Below are 18,639 nucleotides of genomic sequence, written 5' to 3'. Positions count from 1 at the left end.
TATGTGCATAGATTGTGTAGAAGTCAAGGCTTTTAAGGTATCTTTCACCCAAATAACCCAATGTACTCATTAAGTAATTTCTTATCCTCCATTTCCTGCCAACCCTCTCACCCTGCCAAGTCTCCACTGTCTGTCATTCCATACACTACATCCATGTGTGTACATTATTCAGCTCCCAGCTACCCAGGGCTTTTCTAAAAGTAGAAAACCAAAAGATCAGACAAACCCAAAATGCCCACACCAGGCCCCCACCACCTCACACACACTTTCAAGTAACAATGGCCAATGTCCTCATGGTCTCTCCTTTGTTCCAAAGAGAAAACCCTGATCCCATAAAATGACTAACAGACTCTTTCTTTCACAGTGTAATGTAAATAAGTGTTGGCAAAGGAAGGGCCCACAGACCAAATCTGGCTCACCACCTGTTTTTGTTTGGCCTATAAGCTAAGAACAGTTCTTTTATATTTTAATGGTGTTTTTTAAAAAGAAGAATATTTCATAAGTGAGAATAATTACATGAAATTTAAATTTCCATATCCATTAATAATGTTTTGAATTTCATCAATTAAAAATTTGTGGAAATTATTTTCTCTCTTGTTATATAAGTGCCTAAATACTATCCTTGATTTTGTCTCCTGGTTCAACAAAGCTTAAACTATTTACTATTTAGCTCTTTACAGAAAAAGTCTGGCCATCCTTGATGTAAATGACAAATAATAAAAAAGTACCTCTCTTTGGAACAAATGCATCTCTAAAATGAACCAAAGGAATGAATTTTTCATCCTGCAAGGTCAGACAAAAATGTTTTTAACGGTTGGTACATACAAAAAAAATCAAACTCTCTCCTTTATGTAATAGAGTTACATGGGCTATGCTGATTTTATCACTCTGTTTCATACCAGGTTGTTTGAAAAACAAGATAAATTGGCATCTTCCTCCAAAATTAATTTCATTTAGAATTTAGGCCTAAGAATTAAGCAACCACTCTGCTCTTCCTCTCTACTTTAACTTGATTTTTTATTAAAATACTATTTTACTACATTATCATCTTTGAAAGAAATCTACTTAATAATAGTGTATTAAATAATTTTCAATTCATAAAGCCAACAAATAAGCTTTTCATTTTTCTTTGTAGATTGTTCACACCATTCACATTAGGATATTCAGTCCCCCAGAGACACCAGGCCCTTTCTTGGCTCGGCGTCCTCGTTTATGCTTTTCTCCCACTCAGGAATTCACTTCCCAAACACTCTCCTGGGTAGTTCCCCACGCAGCACAGGAAGATAAGAAAGATTTTTTTGTTTTATTTGATGGAAATGGTCTTTTTTTTTTTTTTTTAAATAGAAAGCTTCCAAAACTTCCACACCTTTTGAAAACTATTTTTTATTAAAATGCCACTCCTTAAACACTCACTCAGAATTTATTGATCCCACAACACATTACTTGTATTTTTTTTTTTTTTTTTTTTTTTTTTTGAGACAGAGTTTCGCTCATGTTGCCCAGGCTGGAGTACAACTGCGCAATCGCGACTCACTGCAACCTCCGCCTCCCGGATTCAAGCGGTTCTCCTGCCTCAGCCTGCCGAGTAGCTGGGGCTACCGGTATGCGCCACTACGCCTGGCTAATTTTTTAGTATTTTTAATAGAGACGGGGTTTCGCCATGTTGGCCAGGCTGGTCTAGAACGCCTGACCTCAGGTGATCCACCCGCCTCGGCCTCCCAAAATGCCAGGATTACAGGCGTGAGCCACCACTCCTGGCCACATTACTTGTACTTCTATTTGGCATTTAGGTTGTTATACATTTAGGCTACTAGAATGTGCTTTTAGGATCAACCACCCCTAGTTCCTTGCAGATTTCAAGAAGGTACTTCTCGCCTGGTGTTCCCCATCCCTGGAATTCCAAGGAGCCAGCTGAAAATGCCAAAAAGGAGGAGCCATCCTTGATGTCTCTCCTTTCTCTCACCTTCTAAATCTAATTTAACTAAACCCTTAAATTTGCTGCCTGAAAGTCTCTGGAATCCCCACTGGAGCCTCTTAACCATTATAACCCAGACTTCTAACCTCCTTCCACCACAGCTATTCATTCTTCACACTGAAGTAAAGGCAATCCTCTCAAGTCAAATGCCCATCAATACACACACACACGCACACACACACACACACACACACACACGCACACACACACACCTGACTAGGTTAACTACCCATAGACTCTCACAGCACAAGGCAGCTTACAAAATTGTTTAGAGTTTGAAGCCTGTCTCTCTCACCAGATGATAAAACAGGGACTTTACAACAATATCTGGTACATAGTAGCTGTTCAAAGATGTTTTATGGGTGAGTTAACACAGAGCAACAATTCTTTGCATCCTCAAGGTTGCCAACTACTTTAAAGGAGTCTATCTTGGAAGCTCTATACTTATGTCTGTAGTTTTTGGGATGCCTTTTGGAATTGACTTCAGAGACCACTTGCCATTCACAAAAGAAAATTTGTCTTCCTTCTTCACTGCTACACCTGGATTTTTGATTCAAGATGGTTTCACTCCAATCAAAGTGTTCACACATTTAATTTGCAAGACATTGCTCTAAGTGACATTTGTTTGTTTCCAAAAAAATCCTAACCAGCTCCAAAGGCTAGATAACTAACAAGAGATTAGCAAAAGAAGGTACTGTGGAGATGAGAGCTATTATTGAACACTTACAGTGTGCCAGGCATTGATGAACACCTTACAATCATTATTTCACTTAGTCCTCACAACAAACCCATGTGGTAGTTGCTATTATTCCAACTTTACAAATTAAAAAAAAAAAAAAGCTGAAGTCAAGAGAGATGGTTAAAAGTCTAAAGATGTGTAGCCTTCAATTGTGGACTACAAAGAAGACTGATTTTGTAACAAAGACCCCTATTAATGTCCATGAATGAAATACTGGGTAGTGGTATCAAATAATTGTTCCTGAATGTCATCGTATTTCTTGGGAATTCACAGTCTTATTTCATTGTCCTCTGTTGGTCCCTGTGCACATTATTTGGGGTCCTTTCATGCTGCTGAGTCATGCTGAGTAAGCCTGGGAGGAGCTGTTAGGAAAATAAAAATCTAGAACAGGGAAGTCACATACCTTTATCATAGACATGGCAGAAAGTTCAAGAGAAAGAAAGGTACTTCAAACTAACACAAAGGAAGTTCTGGGAAAAAGGTTAAGACTGCTTGGCTGCTTGTACCCCATAAATTCAAGATGTCATGACTCATTAATAGCATGGTAGCAAAGTAGCAATACAGAAATTAAAACACGAAGTTTTATTCTCAAACTGCTGGAAATAAAATGCAGAAAGTTAAACTAAAAATAGAATAATATGAGAAACTATCCATTTTTTTCCTAGAATTTTATGGTTTTTTGTTTTTGCTCTTCTAGATCAGCTTCTCTATTTAGATAAATATATTTATCAATTTATGTTTTATCGTAAATATTTATCTTTAGAGTATGATAATTCAAGGGTGGTATTTGGCCATGATTCTTGCTTTTCCAGTCTTTGTGTCAAAATGTCTGGGCCTGCTACACTGGACAAGCAAGTAGTTTGACAGCTGGGGTAATGAGAGCTGTCAATGGCAGTAACTATAATGCACATGCGAAGAGCAGCCAAAATAACTCCCTCGCAGTATTTCCAAACCCATTCCCAGGGTACTAAAATCATGCACTTAGTATCAATTTAGAAATAAGGGAAGGAACAAATTGATAAACAGGAAAGTATAATCTTCAGATAAACATAAATAGATTAGGAAACCTAACATCATTCCTTGTGCATTAGAAAACCACAGTTTTCAAAGATTCAAATACCTGACTTGACCATATTCTGGGCGTGCTATTATGTAAAATAATTTGAATTTTGTCTGGATATCAACTATATATTTTCTCTTAAATTCATGAGATTAAATTAAAAAGGAGAAAAATTTATCCCTGAGCTGCTTACCCTCTGAGTGATAATTCTGTCAGTTCTTCTATTTTCTTAAGGCTACGTTTAATATATTTTCTATAAAGAAAGGATTTCTAAAAAGCATTGTATTAGTCCTTTCTCACATTGCTATAAAGAAATACCTGAGACTGGGTCATTTATAAGAAAAGAAGTTTAATTGGCTCACGGTTCTGCAGGCTGTACAGGAAGCATAGCGGCATCTGCTTCTGGGGAGGCTTCAGGAAGCTTCCAATCATGGCAGAAGGCAAAGGGGGAGTAGCCATGCCATATTCCAAAAGTAGGAGCAAGAGAGTGAGGGGGTGGGTGCTACATACTTTTAATTTTTTTTCATTATTTTTAAATTTTTTGTGGGTACATAAGTGTATATATTTATGGGGCAATGTGAAACAACCACATCACGGAAAATGGGGTATCCATCCCCTCAAGCACTTATCCTTTGAGTTACAAACTGCTCACTTTTAAATGACCAGATCTCACAATAACTCACTCGCTATCTCAAAGACAGTACCAAGCAGGGTGGTGCTAAATCATTCATGAGAAAACCATCCCCATGATCCAGTCCCCTCACAACAGGCCCCACCTTCAGTATTGGGGATTACATTTCAGTATGAGATTTGGGCATGAACAAACATACAAACTATATTAAGCATCTATAGAAACAATTTTCTTAGACAAGCTTTAACTATAAGAAGACACTGCTTTAAATAAACACTCTTCTAATTGGGGACAAATATATAAAAGGAAGTTTACTTTGGACATGACTCGATAGACAGTAAGAACCTCAAAATGTATTAAACAAGATGGTTATTTATTCTTGTGACCGACTATTATAATGCATGTAGTATGTTGCCAGTGTATAAATAAATAAAAAAGGTGTACCTTAAAAACAACAACAAATATGAATAAGTTGACAAGAGAATGTCTTGTAAATATTTTCTTATTATTTTATCAACAACTCTCTAAGAAATGTAACTACATTTTCTAAAATGAAAGCCCAGAAGCAAAACAAGTCATATCATAAGACCTCAGAAAGATTTAGGAATTGGAGGCACCTAACTCCAAAAATGATAGTGCAAGTGGACTGAAAACAGCCTCCCTAGATCCACCTCCACACAGTCCAGTAACATCTCTCCCCGACCATAGCAGAAGACAGCAAGTGTTAAACATGAAACATGCTAGCAGGAATTAATACTTTGATGCAAAGTAAGAAGCTAAAATTGAAAACATCCTCTCAGAAAAGGAGGGAACAAAAAAGAAAATAGGAGAGACATATAAAAATAAGACAATCAGTCCAGACCCCCAACATCCAAATAATAGAAGTTACAGAAAGTGAGAATTGAGAAAACAAAGGGGAAAATATTTTAAAAGGAAATTTCCCAGAAATGAAGGATGTTGGAATGAAAGGACCACTCAGGATCCATCGCAAATAAATGAAAGAGGAGCCACATCATTTCATGTCATATATATTTCCCATGTATCCTTTGTTGGTAGAGTTAGTAAATTAAGAAAGGGGAAGATATGGGATCCAATCAACAGATGAAGGCAAAGGCCGGAGCCACTGCTAAGTAGCAAGCCCAGAGGGCCATTAATCCTGATTATACCAGATCAAAGGGCTCCAAGAGGAATGTCTCAAAAAAAAGAATAGGAGAGATTACCTGATGTGTCTGAATATTTTAAGAAGACATTTAAATGTGTATAAAGAGTTTAGGGATAACTTAGTGATGTACACATAGAAAAATTAAGTTATTTCGTGAAAAAAATAAACCTTGCAATCATGAACTGTATAGGAAAAAGCAGCTACTTGACAAAGGAAATGTTACCTGTGGCATCTACCTAAATATAATATTGCAGACATCAAAAATTATAATTAGCTATGTTGGGAAGCTAGGAAAGTGCATGTGCCATGGGTAGGGGTGGGTGCTAGTCAAAGCAATAAATCATTATATTCCATAATAGGAATCAACAAATCTTCTCTTAATGGAGGCGGGGAAGTCAGAAACTAGTAACATTAAGATATGATTTAGAATATAAAGGCATTTATAAGATGAAGTAACTAAAAGGCTGGGAAGTTGTTGTCTTTAGGGAGTACAAATGAGAGGTGTAAAAAGGTTTGACGAGGAACTGCTTCAATAAGCCTAGTCATACTATATGATTTTTTAAAACTATGTTCATGTATTACTTTGATCAAAATAAAAGTTAAAATATAACAAAAATAAAGCACTAAAATAATAACAGCAACAACAAAAATTAAATCTATTTCTTCTTGCATCTTCCGTCTCTCTCTCTCTGCTAGATCATTCCTCTCCTCATATAAACATTCATTTAAAAGAAAATCCCTATTTAACCTCTTTCAGCTGTAGTCCAATTTCTTTCTATCACAGCCAGTCTTACTGTAAATTATTCTCTGATCGGGTGTTCACCATCGCTCCTCAACCTGTGCAATGGATTAAGGTGAACCATATAAAATTGCTGATCTGATCATTTTTTACCTATAAAAACAGCAATTTCATATGGTTCAATCTAATAGTTTACTGTCATTTCAACCACCTAACGCTGAGTCCATCACCTGAGTACTTGCTGTCCTGTTTAACCATGCCCTGCTCTCCAGCCTTACTGCCCTGCCTGAATTCAGACATATTTCATTTCCTTCTGGATTAAGGCTTCGGCTTCTCACTCTTTTGCCCACCAGTCCATGTTAGCACTGTCTCCAGAATGATCTGTTGAAGACTTTAGTTGTATCACATCACTGACCTGCTTCAAACCCTCTAATGGCAGCCCAGTGCCATCAGAATCAAACCTAAACTATTTTCCATGGCCACATGTTGACCACTGCCTGCCTCTCCAGCTTCATCTCCCTCTAGACTCTGCATCCCACCCTGGCTTCGCCCCATTTGTGCCCGCTATACTTTTTTTTATATTTAGAGTCAGGGTCTTGCTATGTTGCCAGGGCTGAAGTGCAGTGGCTACTCACAGGAGCAATCACAGCACACTGCAGCCTCAAACTCCTGGCCTCAAGCATCCGCCCGCCTCAAGCCTCCCAAGTAGCTGGGACTACAGGTGTGCACCACAGTGCCTGGCACCCTCTGTACTTGAGACACATTAAACAACTTAGGTGCAGAAATGTTCCTTTTATTTTCATACATTAAAATGTACATATGGGAGATTAAATATCTCTAATATGTGGCAGCTTGAAGGTACTTGACAATATTTATGAAAGGAAAATTCATTGTTTTCATTAATGACCCAAAAATGAATCATGGATGGAAAAAAAAAAAAAAAAAAAAAAAAAAAATATATATATATATATATATATATATATATATATATATAACATAAACAGTGCATATATTCAATTTCTAAGAGCCAAGTGAAAGTTAAAAAGCCTGACTATGGTTATTTAAATATTCAAATGGATAATGACAGGAATCTAAGAACAATGTATGAATTGTGTTGACAGAGAAGAATTAGAAAAAGAAAAGGAGCAGGGAAGGGAGGGGCAGAGAGGGGTATGGGAAAACAGCTTCACCTCAATTTTACAATGTAACAACTAAGTAAAGAAAATTCATAAACACTACAATTAATCTGTGTGCACGAAATTCTTCTCCATTTTCTAAAAAGTAATGAAATGAAGTCCTTATAGTTAGCCTTAAATCATATATGTACCAAGTATTAATACTTCTATATGTTTTCTGGTGAAGAACTGCATCATTAAGTTTTAAAAGCTGCCCAACCAGTTCTCAAACTAGCATCCCATCCAACAAATGTTTAATTAGGTTTGGAGTTTTGTTTAAACTGACAGCTGTGGTTCAAAAGCCCCCAAGGTCAGCGTTATAGTTTGCATTGTAAGTAACCAAATTGCCCAAAGGTATTCTGTGGTTCTACGGCTGTTATTTTTTATTCTGATTTGCAAAGGATCCAGTTAATAGCGCCATGCTAAGAATACGGATTATTCAAATGCAAAAATATATTTTTACAGTATCTCTGAGTCAATTTATAAGAAAAAAAAGCAAGCTGTTATTATTCACCTATCCAGTGTGCAGTCATCCAACGACCTGACCTCACAGATCTAGCAGAGACAAGAAGCAGGATGTAAGCAAAAAAGGCTTTAGAGGCAAAAGAGATGTTAGCAAAGGCCAGTGCAGAGGAAGCTCACACACTTTCCCATAGGAAAGCTTTGAGGCCCTCCCTTGGAGGCTATTTACTTTCACTTTACAAACAATGTAGCCAAGCTTATTTATCTAGTTTCTAAGCCTAGGGCAGAATAGAATAAGATATTAGGATGAGAGCTGTGAGAGAAGGGGTACTTACAGCAAACTGAAATACTGACTGCAAAACAGAGCCAACTGTCAGCCTAATGAGGAGGAGGAAACAAAAATTACAAAAAATGAAACAAAAGAATTCAAAACACAGCTGAATGCAGGGTTTGGGGGCAAATGCTTCACTCACCCAGTGAGATCTTGGGGCATCACTATATCACAGTAGAGCATAGAGGATCGACATCCAAAATGGTGCCCTTCGTCCTCAAGAAAAAGATCAACTTAGCGCCTCTGCCGGGGCACACCTGTGCCAGGTAATGGAAATGCAAGAAGGAACAAGCAACACCTGCTTTCACAAAGGGGAATGAGTATAGCAGATTTTAGAAAGTGTTTCTTCTGAAAGACTAAGCATGAAAGAAAGCTTACTTGTCCTTAAAATACTGAATCGCTAATTATCAAGAAAAGTCAGTATCTAAAGATGACTCATTTGTTAAGGATAGCAGTTACGATGTAATTAAAAATCTATTTGAAATATATATGGGGTTGTAGGACCTAAACTCCATAAGGGTTTCAAATAACTGACAATATATAACATCAAAGAATACAGGAGTAATAGGGTATCTACAGTTTGGTCTCTGCTTCACCACTAACTATACGTTGCCTTGGCAAATGAGTTACTTCCCTGAGACTCCATCTCCCCATCTGTCAAATGAAGAGGCTAAAGAGATAGTTGTGAAGTATCCACCAATGTTTCCCTCCAACTCACATACCCAATATTCTACCCACATAGACCACTGAGGGCCCATGGCCTCAGGTAAAAGGCACTACCGCAGAGCATAAAGTTACAGACAAGAGCCTCTTTCCGGCTTTCGGGCTTCAAAAATCCTGGGAACCAGGTGGAATACAAAGAATAAATGACAAGTGATTCGGGAGAAAACAAAATGAGTTTCAGTGCCATTTCCTTTGTCTGCAGTTAGAAATGAATTGAATTCCTGGCCCAGAGGAAGTTGGCAGGGACGTGAAGAAAACATAAATGTTGTGGGGTCCCTGGGCTAGGGGCTTATACCCAGCTCCCCAGGGCTAAGCTCAAAGGAAACAAAAAGAAGATGTGTTTGTGGGAAGGAAGAACAAAAAAGACCTGGGACTTCTTCTCATGGAGAATCCAGGAAGCAGTAAGATCCCAGAGAAGAAACAGCCCTACGGAGTGTCAAGGCAGGTGGAGCATTATATCATCTCACAAAAGTTTAGCAGGCCCCAGACTAGCCTGAGAACAGCAAAATGATTTCTGTGCACCCAAGAGTAGGGGGAGATTGGAACAGGGGCAATTTAGAAGGGACCTGTGTGGACTAACAATGTTGGGAAGACCTAAGTGGACCATCAGATAGAAGTATGGATGTCTCAACAGAGGTGTCCAGCATGGCATGTGATCTTAAGAAACTCTATATATCCTGGGGGGTGGGGAGGTGTGGATCTCCAAATTGTAGATAAATAAACATGATTCTTGCACATCTCTGTTTACAAACTGAGATTCAAACCCACTACATGCTGAGACAGACTCCACAGCTATAAAATCAAAAGGCCAAGCCACAGAATAACAAGAAATAATCTATTAATGACTTCATGATAATAAATGTGGGGAAACATGAATAAAAAGAATAACTATCTAGAAATACATGAGTCACAAAACTGAGCTGGGGGATTGTTGGAATTAACATCCTGAATAAATTAGTAATCATTAAAGAAACTGAGATAATTTTTTACAATCTCTTTACCCAAGACACAAGCCCAGACAACATTACAGATGAAAATTACCAAACTTTCAAGGAAAATATAATCCCTCTCTTATACGAACTGTTTCTGGAGAACAGAAAAAGAAATCAGACATCCAACATATGAGGATAGATAGTACAATCTTGATACCAAATGTGGATAAATGCAGTAGAAGAAAAAAAAAGAATACACAATCTCACCTATGAAGACAAATGCAAAAACTCTAATAGAAATCATCAGTGTATAGAAACATACTGTAACCTAGAACATTTTTCCCAGAATCCAAGGATAGTTCAGATTAACTAGTAGATCACAGTAACAGATTAAAGAGAAAAAGTACTCAACAAATTTCAACACTTATTCATGATAAACATTTTTGGCAAGCTGAGAAAGGAAGTGAACCTAATAATGAATATCTATCATAAAGCTATAGTGAACAACATGCTTAGTGGTAAAACTCTAGCAGCCTTTGGTTTAAAGTCAAGGATAAAACAAGAACTCCTATTATCACCACTTTCATTAAACACCAACTGTATTAAACAAGAAATTCCACAAGTTCAACATATTTAAACCAATATGGTAATAAACAATTTGAAAATGCAAATAGAAAATGCATCCCATGTACAACAGCAATAAAATTTATAAGATGGGGAGGGGTGTGAACGTGTGTGTGTGTGTGTTTGTAATATTATAGTTATAACGCTATGGTTAAACCTTGTAGTCTTCATCTTACTAGACTTGACAGTATTTGACACAGTTATTGCATCCTTCTTGAAATGTTTTTTCACTTGGTTTCCACCAAACACATTCTCCTGGTTTTTCTCTTCTACCAGGCTCCCCTCAGCTTCTTTCATTAATTCCACTTCTCTCTGCCTCTAACAGTGGCATGTCCTTGAGCCCTTAGGTCTCTTTTGCTTTCTAGCTACACTTATCCCCCGGGTCATCTCTTCCAGTTTCATGAATTCAAATACCATCTGATCACTGATGACTTCCCATCCCTCTAACCCTAACCTGCCACCTGAACCCTAGAATTATAACTGACTGCATATTTGATATCTCCACTTGGAAGTATATTAGGCACCTCAAACTTAACATGTCTAAAATCAACCTCACAATCGGGCTGCCCCCTTGATCTTCACCATCTCAGAAAATGGAAACTATTCTACCAGTTAGCTACACACACCATAAACCATAAAGTCATCCTTGACTTTTCTTCTCTTTCCTCTCCTGCAACACACATACAAACCATAAGCAACCTTCAAAGTAGATGCTGAATGTGACCATTTCTCACATCCTTCCCACTGTCACCATGATTGGCCCAAGCCACCATCATCTCTCACCTGGATTATTTTAACAGGTGCCTATCTTCCTTCCTTTACCATTTTCCACCTATAATCTATTGTCCACACAGTATCAGATAATCCCTTTAAAACAAGATCAGATCATGTCATGTCCCTGCTCAAAACCCTCCAGTGTCTTCCCACATCACTCAGAGTGAAATCCACATTTCTTACCATGGGCTACAAGACTCTACACATCAGTGATTCTCAGAAGGGACAGTACTAGTCCCTAGAGAACATTTAGAAATTTCTGGCCAGTGGGTGAGAGAGACAGCATTTTTAGTTGCTAGAATGAGAAAGTGCTATTGGCATTTAGTAGGCAAGAAGGAGCCAAGGATATAGTAGACATCCTGCAGTTCACAGGGCAGTCCCACAAAACAAAGAAATACATGTCCTGAAAGACTTTCATGTGGGTAAAAAAAGTTTCATAAATAGATGAGGCCAGAATCTTTAAACACAAAATATATCCCTCATTTAACCCATTCTGTATTTTCCAGAAATGCAACTACTGTGTAAATCGTAGCAACTATGCGAATAGTTTAGTCACCAAAACAACACACCTATTTCATTCTGCATTGGTAGCAGTTATATATAAATATATACAGAGAATATATGAAGTTCATTTTGTAAATTTAGAACCAATCATAATTAAATTAGCAGAGACAAGTAAAATTTGGGAATAAGGAATACTGCATTAGTGAGGTTTTTTAAATAAATGTTATTGCCAATCTATATAATGTTTTAATATTTTAGCAAAATACCTCTATATTGGGAAGGTTACATATTGAAATTATTAATTTTGAATGGCCTGTTGTTTTTGTTTTACCCTGAAATTGTCCACAGAGGTCTATTTCATGTCTTCTTGTATTACTTTCTTTTTTCCTATCCATCCTATAGTCTCATCATCTTTTGAAAGATATGTCTTCCAAGGTCTTTTTAAGCACCAGAAACTGAATATGTTCTGATGTGTTGAGATTTCAGGATGGGAGAGATGTTTGGTTTGGTTTGGTTTGGTTTGGTTTTCTGATACTTTGTCACTTTGTCCAATGTCACAACAGAGATTTATTTTGACATTACATTTATAAAGAGGCCTAGCTCATTTTCTCCATTTCAAAAGTCTATAACTGGTCTTGGCACACATTCCAACTTCACGTAATGTTATTTACCATTTTCTCATCCTGTACACATACGCCTGGTCTGCTACCATAAATCCTAATGTATTATAGTGCCAATTGCACTGTTATTTCATTTTCCAGTCCTTCATACACACTATGGTTCCTGATATTCCCACCCAAAGAGATTCACTATGGGTAGATAAAAGCAGCTAGCAACTTCATATGTCTTCCAGTGTAGTCGTTTATAATTGATTTAACCACATATTACTGTCATTGTTCCTGTATGTTACAAAAAGGGTGTTATATTAATTTTTACATTGCATGAATAGGTAAACGATAATTATTTATGAATTTTGCTCAGGATATTAAAAAGGGCAAAATATACCCAGCAAGAAAAGTGTGCTGGGTCTGATAGTACTGAGAACCACTGCCCCAGTTGATCTGGCTCTTGGCTACCTCTGTGGCATCATCTCCTACCATACTCCCCATTCAAAGATCCCCACCTTGTTGTTTCTCAAACATCACAGAACATTTCTACCTTGGAGCCTTGCACTATCTCCTCCCTCTGCCTGGAATGTTCTCCTTCATACATGAATTGGATGGCTTGTTCCCTTACTTCCTTCAGACTTCTGCTCAATGTGATGTTCTCCTATGGTCCTTTTCTGATCATCTTACTTAAATGTCTCTCGCTTCCCCATTATTCTATCACTCTGTCCTAAATTATTCTTCCTTTTGTTACTTATTGCCATCTAAGACATTACTGATTTGTTTGCTCTCTGCCTCCTCCCTCTAGATTGTAAGCAAGGATTTCATTTATTTACTGACATTTCCAAGCATCTGGTACAGCGCCAGATATAACAGGCACCCAATTACATTGCAAGAATGAATAATTGTTTTAGAGACCAATAAGTGTGTTGTTGGGAGTCTGGATTGAGCAGGTAGGACCAGGTCCTCCGTTTCTAATTGAGACACTGCTGACATGCTACTAAATGTTTGAGATATTGAACTTTCACTGAATATTTCATTTGAAGAAATTTTTCCACAGCTGAAAAGTTTTGGAAAGCTACTGGCCTTTCAAATTAGCAAAGAGTGAAAAGTACCATAATGCACAAAGCTGGTGAGGATGTGGGGAAACAGACTTGTACTCCCTACTAGTTGGAAAGTAGTTGGTTCAACCTTACTGGAATGTAATGTAGTAGTACGTACTAAGAACCTTTTTAAATGCAGCCTATTTAACATGTATTGTCTTATATTTAAGAACATTTTATTCTCACAGTATTTTAAGGTAAGTATTATTAGCCCTATTGAACAGATAAGAAAACTGAGGCACCAATAATTTAAGAAACAAATAAATCACAAATCAAGGATCCCAACCTAGGTCATCTAACTCTAAACCCAGGGCTTTCTCCACCCTTTTCCATTGTCTGCTAGCTCCCTTGTTATGTTACCTAATTCCTTAAAGCTAAAAACTGTGTCACATAACAAAATCTTTCCATACTTAGTGCCAAGCACAGGGCTAAATATTGCAGGTGCTCAAAAAACTTTGCTGGAAGAGTGAATAACACTTTGAGCCATAAGAGTCTCTACACAAGGTGTATCGCCATAGAGACCATGTCAGAAACTACCTCGTTATTTCTTCTACCCTTTTCCATAGTAATAGAATGTGAACCTTGGCATATGGCTGCCAAGGATAGTGATTTCATTTTTCATCCTCTTTTGTAGCTGGATGTTATCATGCAGCTAAATTCTGCCAGATTAAATATAAGCAGAAGTGGTGTGCAATCTCAGACACATGCATTTCTTGTGTAAAACTTTCCTGCTGGCCAGAATACAGAGGTGATAACTGATGCAGCTATGTTGGACCTTACGATGGCCCTGGGAATGCAGATGAGTCAGTGGAGCACTCAAATGGCAGGATTCTGGATCCCTGGCCCTATGGAACACCACATTGGTATTGCATTACCTTTTTATAAGACCTTTTTTTACAAGACAGAAATAAACTTTCATCCTGTCTAATCCACTATTAATATTACTTTGGGTTTTCTGATTATCTGGACCCATTAGCTACTCTGAACTAGTTCTATTAAGGCTGCCTCTTACTCCCTCTTTCATTGTAACTCGATACTTAGTTAAACCGATTTGGTTTTGTCCTAGCGACAGCTGATATGAATTATGCATTCCATTTAACGTTTTCAAAGATTCCATTGTAAATGGATATTTAATAAGCCTTTTCACTTAACCCTAAAGAGCAACAGAACAGTCATGCATAAAAAGCCATAATTCCGTAAACTGTTTAATAATCACTTTCCAGAGTAATAATTGATTGTCAAAGACTATACAACTAGGCAGGTCTCGACAGCATAATGAAATCAGAACAATGAAAAGTGTCTCAGCTGTCTCAATCTTTCCTTTCTTCATAACCCTATTTCCAATGATTAAGAGATGAAGAGCTTGAGACTAGTGATGTTCTTGAGGGGAAATTTGGCTGAAATGATGAGGTCTGGCTTTATTATAATCTGCTCCTGTATGCCTAATAAATGTGTAGTAAGCCAAGAAAATGACAGGAATTTTATATATTGTATTATCTGTGAGGTCTAAAAAAGATAGGCTTCCTCTTTAAAAGGTGAGGAAAGGGTAAAGGGTACAGGGAATTTTACTTACTACCAAGACTGAAAAAAATCTGATGATGAGTATGCTGATTAACAGCTGGCCATGTGATCATAGCAATCCTGTAGCCCTCCTTAAATAACATCCAAAGCATTGGCTCTTCCTCCTGGCTTTTGGGAATTCCTGGTAAGGCCATAGACACACCCCATTCTCTCAAGTTGAAAATTCTCAACAAGACCCTAAAACTCACCACAGATATTAAGAATTCTTTTTTGTTTGTTTTTGTTTTATTTTGGTTTTGGGGTGTTTTTTGTTTTGTTTTGAGACACAGTCTTACTGTGTCACCCAGGCTGGAGTGCAATGGTGCAATCTCGGCTCACTGCAACCTCCACCTTCCCAGTTCAAGTGATTCTCCTGCCTCAGCCTCCTGAGTAGCTGGAATTACAGGAGTGAGCCACCACACCCAGCTAGTTTTTGTATTTTTAGTAAAGACAAGGTTTTGCCATATTGGCCAGGCTGGTCACAAACTCCTGACCTCAAGTGATTCCCCTGCCTCGGCCTCCCAAAGTGCTGGGATTACAGGTGTGAGCCACCACACCCGGCCAGATAATGAGATTTCAAATGTCATTTTGTGTGCCACATAGTGACATTTCAGTCAATGACAGACCCCATATATGACAGTGATTCCATAAGGTTATACTGCATTTTTACTCTATCTTTTCTATGTTTACATAGTTTAGATACATTAGTTACACTGTTTAGATACACAAATACTTTCTATTATGTTACAGTTGGGTAGCTATTCAGGAGAGTAACATGCTTTGTAGTCTAGGAGCAACAGGCTATACCACACAGTCTAGGTGTGTAGTAGGCTATACCATCTAGCCTAGGTTTGTGTAAGTACACTACAATGTTCATACAATGATGAAATCACCTAATGACACATTTCTCACAAAGTATTCCCGTTGTTAAGAGTCAAAGTAGCTCTTCTTCCAAAAAAAGAGATAGGGACTCATATAACCCATGCCCATCAGGCTAAGATGAGAAAGTACTTGCAGGTATTCACTTTGAGAACAGTTTAAAGATTTCAAAAATAATAAAGCTAAGAAGATTAAGTAAAAGCAGGTCAGTCTGTTACAGATGGCATATAAAGATTTTATCTTTTATTCATATTAACAGCAACTTAAGTTGCCAAAATCAGTGGGTTTTGACTGAATGTAACTGGTTAGTGACCATATAACCAATTGCAAATGTCACCACCACCTGCGGATTGTCCCACCTGTATCCTTTCACTCTGATGACAAAATGTGCTACCTTAGGTGCTCAGCCCAAGTCTCATTCCACACCCACCGCTCCTACCAACACCACAGGGCACTATGAGCAAATCCTTGGTTCTTGCTGACCCTCCTCAGGCCCAGGTGTGCTAGGCTGAGAAGCTACCAGCGGAGGCTATGGGACCATCAAAGCACAGGAAAGTGTAATGGTCCTCCCACCAAAGCAGAGATCTGAAAGAGAAGTCAAGGGACAAAGAATTCTGGATACCTGAGCATCTAGGTCTTTAAGTCAGTAAAGGAAAAAAGGAAGGTAGGAATGGAGTAAAACAGAGAAAGCAAAGTGCCATCTGCATGTATGTAATACATCTGATGCAATCCGAATAAAAACAGTTCTGGACTGGCTGTCAGAAGAACTAAATAGTTCCAGTCTCAACTATGCTAATCAACTGTATGGCCTTGCAAAAGTCACTTTCCTCACTGGGTCTCAGTTTTGTTATCTATAATACAAAATTCATCAGGTTACCTCCCAGCTCTAGACACTATTTTAGTAAAAAATGAGAGTAAAGAAACACTATGGGGAAATTTATCACCAGGACTATGAAAGTTTTTTTCCATATAATGAGAAAACAAAGTAAAATATATCAAAGAAAATGTATGAAATGAGAACATATTACTTATAGTTTCAATAAGATAAACTAAAAATTTAAAGCTTTTCCTACCATGTTCATAAAAACTCACAAAGATAATAAATACAACTAATTTTGTCAGGCTATCCCTCTTCACTGTGGTGAGACTAAGATTCAGCATCCTTAGCAATGAACTGAGAAAACCAGGTACTTATAAAAGAATATTCCTCCAAAAATGAAACACATATCCAACACAACTAGAAAATGTGCTGTGCAGTCTGTTAGACTGTTTTCATTTGGGATAAGAGATGCTTAAACATGATTGTGGTTGGCTAGCTCTCAAGATTTTGATTTTACTGTCAAACTGTTTATCTACCCATCCCTAAAACCCACATATTTACCTATTCTGCTTTAAAACAAACACTGTAAAGAATACAGCTGCCTAGCTTCAGGCTGTTTACAGCTACAGAATGGCTGACTTCAATCGCAACCAAATACTGTACTTTTCAGTAATAAAAAATAAACAGCTTCCCATGTACAATATGTCAATGTGTAACCTAACTGGGATATTTAGTTGGTTCAATTTGCTGTCAAGATAACTATATTATTTTAAGCTCTAATATCAACTTTACATGTTAAGCAACTGTTTTAAATTGTATAAGTTCCTTCCTCTAGTTTTACACTCAATAAATGAAAATCATGACTTGACGGTATCACAAAAATTATTCTTAAAGTAGACTAACAATCTACAATGTTAAGACAGCAATTGGTGCTGGATTTTAACTATGCAGCTTGTCAGCTTGTGGCCCACCTCACCTCCCACTTAGCAAGATTCTAAGGCCTTGGACAAGTCCTTAAAATGTAAAAGCATTAAAAATGTCTACATTGGCTAGGTGCGATGGCTCATGCCTGTAATTCCAGCACTTTGGGAGGCCGAAGCAGTTAGATCACCTGAGGTCAGGAGTTCGAGACCAGCCTGGGCAACATGGCAAAACCCCATCTCTACGAAAAATACAAAAATTAGCCAAGCATGGTGGCACATGCCTATAATCCCAGCTACTTGGGAGGCTGAGGCAGGAGAACTGCTTGAACCCAGGAGGCTGAGGTTGCAGTGAGCCGAGATCGTGACATTGTGCTCCAGCCTGGGCAACAAAAGCAAAACTGTCTCAAAAAACAAAACAAACAAAAAAAACCTCTACATTACAAAATCAAAGGTGAAATTGAGTTATGTATTTTAAAAAAAATTCGTGGAGGACTAGGAGGAGATGCTTTTACCCTAAATATCCAAGTAATTGTACCTGAAATAGCCAGAAAAAGCAATTATTTTGAACAACATTTAAAAATTATTCACTTTATCTCATCTGCAGATCTTAAACTCTGGTATGCATAGAAATTGATCACCTCCAAAATTCAAATGCACCTGGCCATTGTCCTTTAGAGTCTAAATTAAGGGACTTAATTATGCAAACAAGCAAAAAAAAAATCATTTCTGGGTAGCACCTGTACTAAGAAATGGAAAACAATATACATGCATTCTATAATAAATTAGCATATCATTTTTCAAGTAACTCTATATTCTAATCTTGAAAAAAACACTCTCATGGAAAATAAGCTGCACCTGTATCCAACAAAGAATAAGTTTATTTTGAAGAAACAACTTCTAGCTTGATTCGAAATCCTT

General features: G+C 37.6%; 1 protein-coding gene across 12 annotated transcripts in view, besides 1 other annotated feature; it reads right to left on the bottom strand.

Moving 5' to 3' along the window:
* Window positions 1–18,639, bottom strand: part of TTC6 (tetratricopeptide repeat domain 6) — a 247,089-nt gene that overhangs the window by 184,030 nt on the left and 44,420 nt on the right. The window lies entirely within an intron of this gene.
* Window positions 2,645–3,844: an enhancer, noted in NCBI's record as "MED14-independent group 3 enhancer chr14:38124049-38125248 (GRCh37/hg19 assembly coordinates)". NCBI's record gives its function as "activates an origin of replication core promoter dependent on BRD2, BRD4, P300/CBP and CDK7 cofactors, and independent of MED14, by STARR-seq in HCT116 cells {active_cell/tissue: HCT116}" and the evidence as "EXISTENCE:reporter gene assay evidence [ECO:0000049][PMID:35650434]".

Source organism: Homo sapiens, chromosome 14 (genome assembly GCF_000001405.40).
Source record: "Homo sapiens chromosome 14, GRCh38.p14 Primary Assembly".
In the NCBI taxonomy this organism is placed as follows: Eukaryota; Metazoa; Chordata; class Mammalia; order Primates; family Hominidae; genus Homo; species Homo sapiens.
Note: the sequence above shows the minus strand (reverse complement) of the source record. Positions and strands in the feature narration are given on the sequence as shown.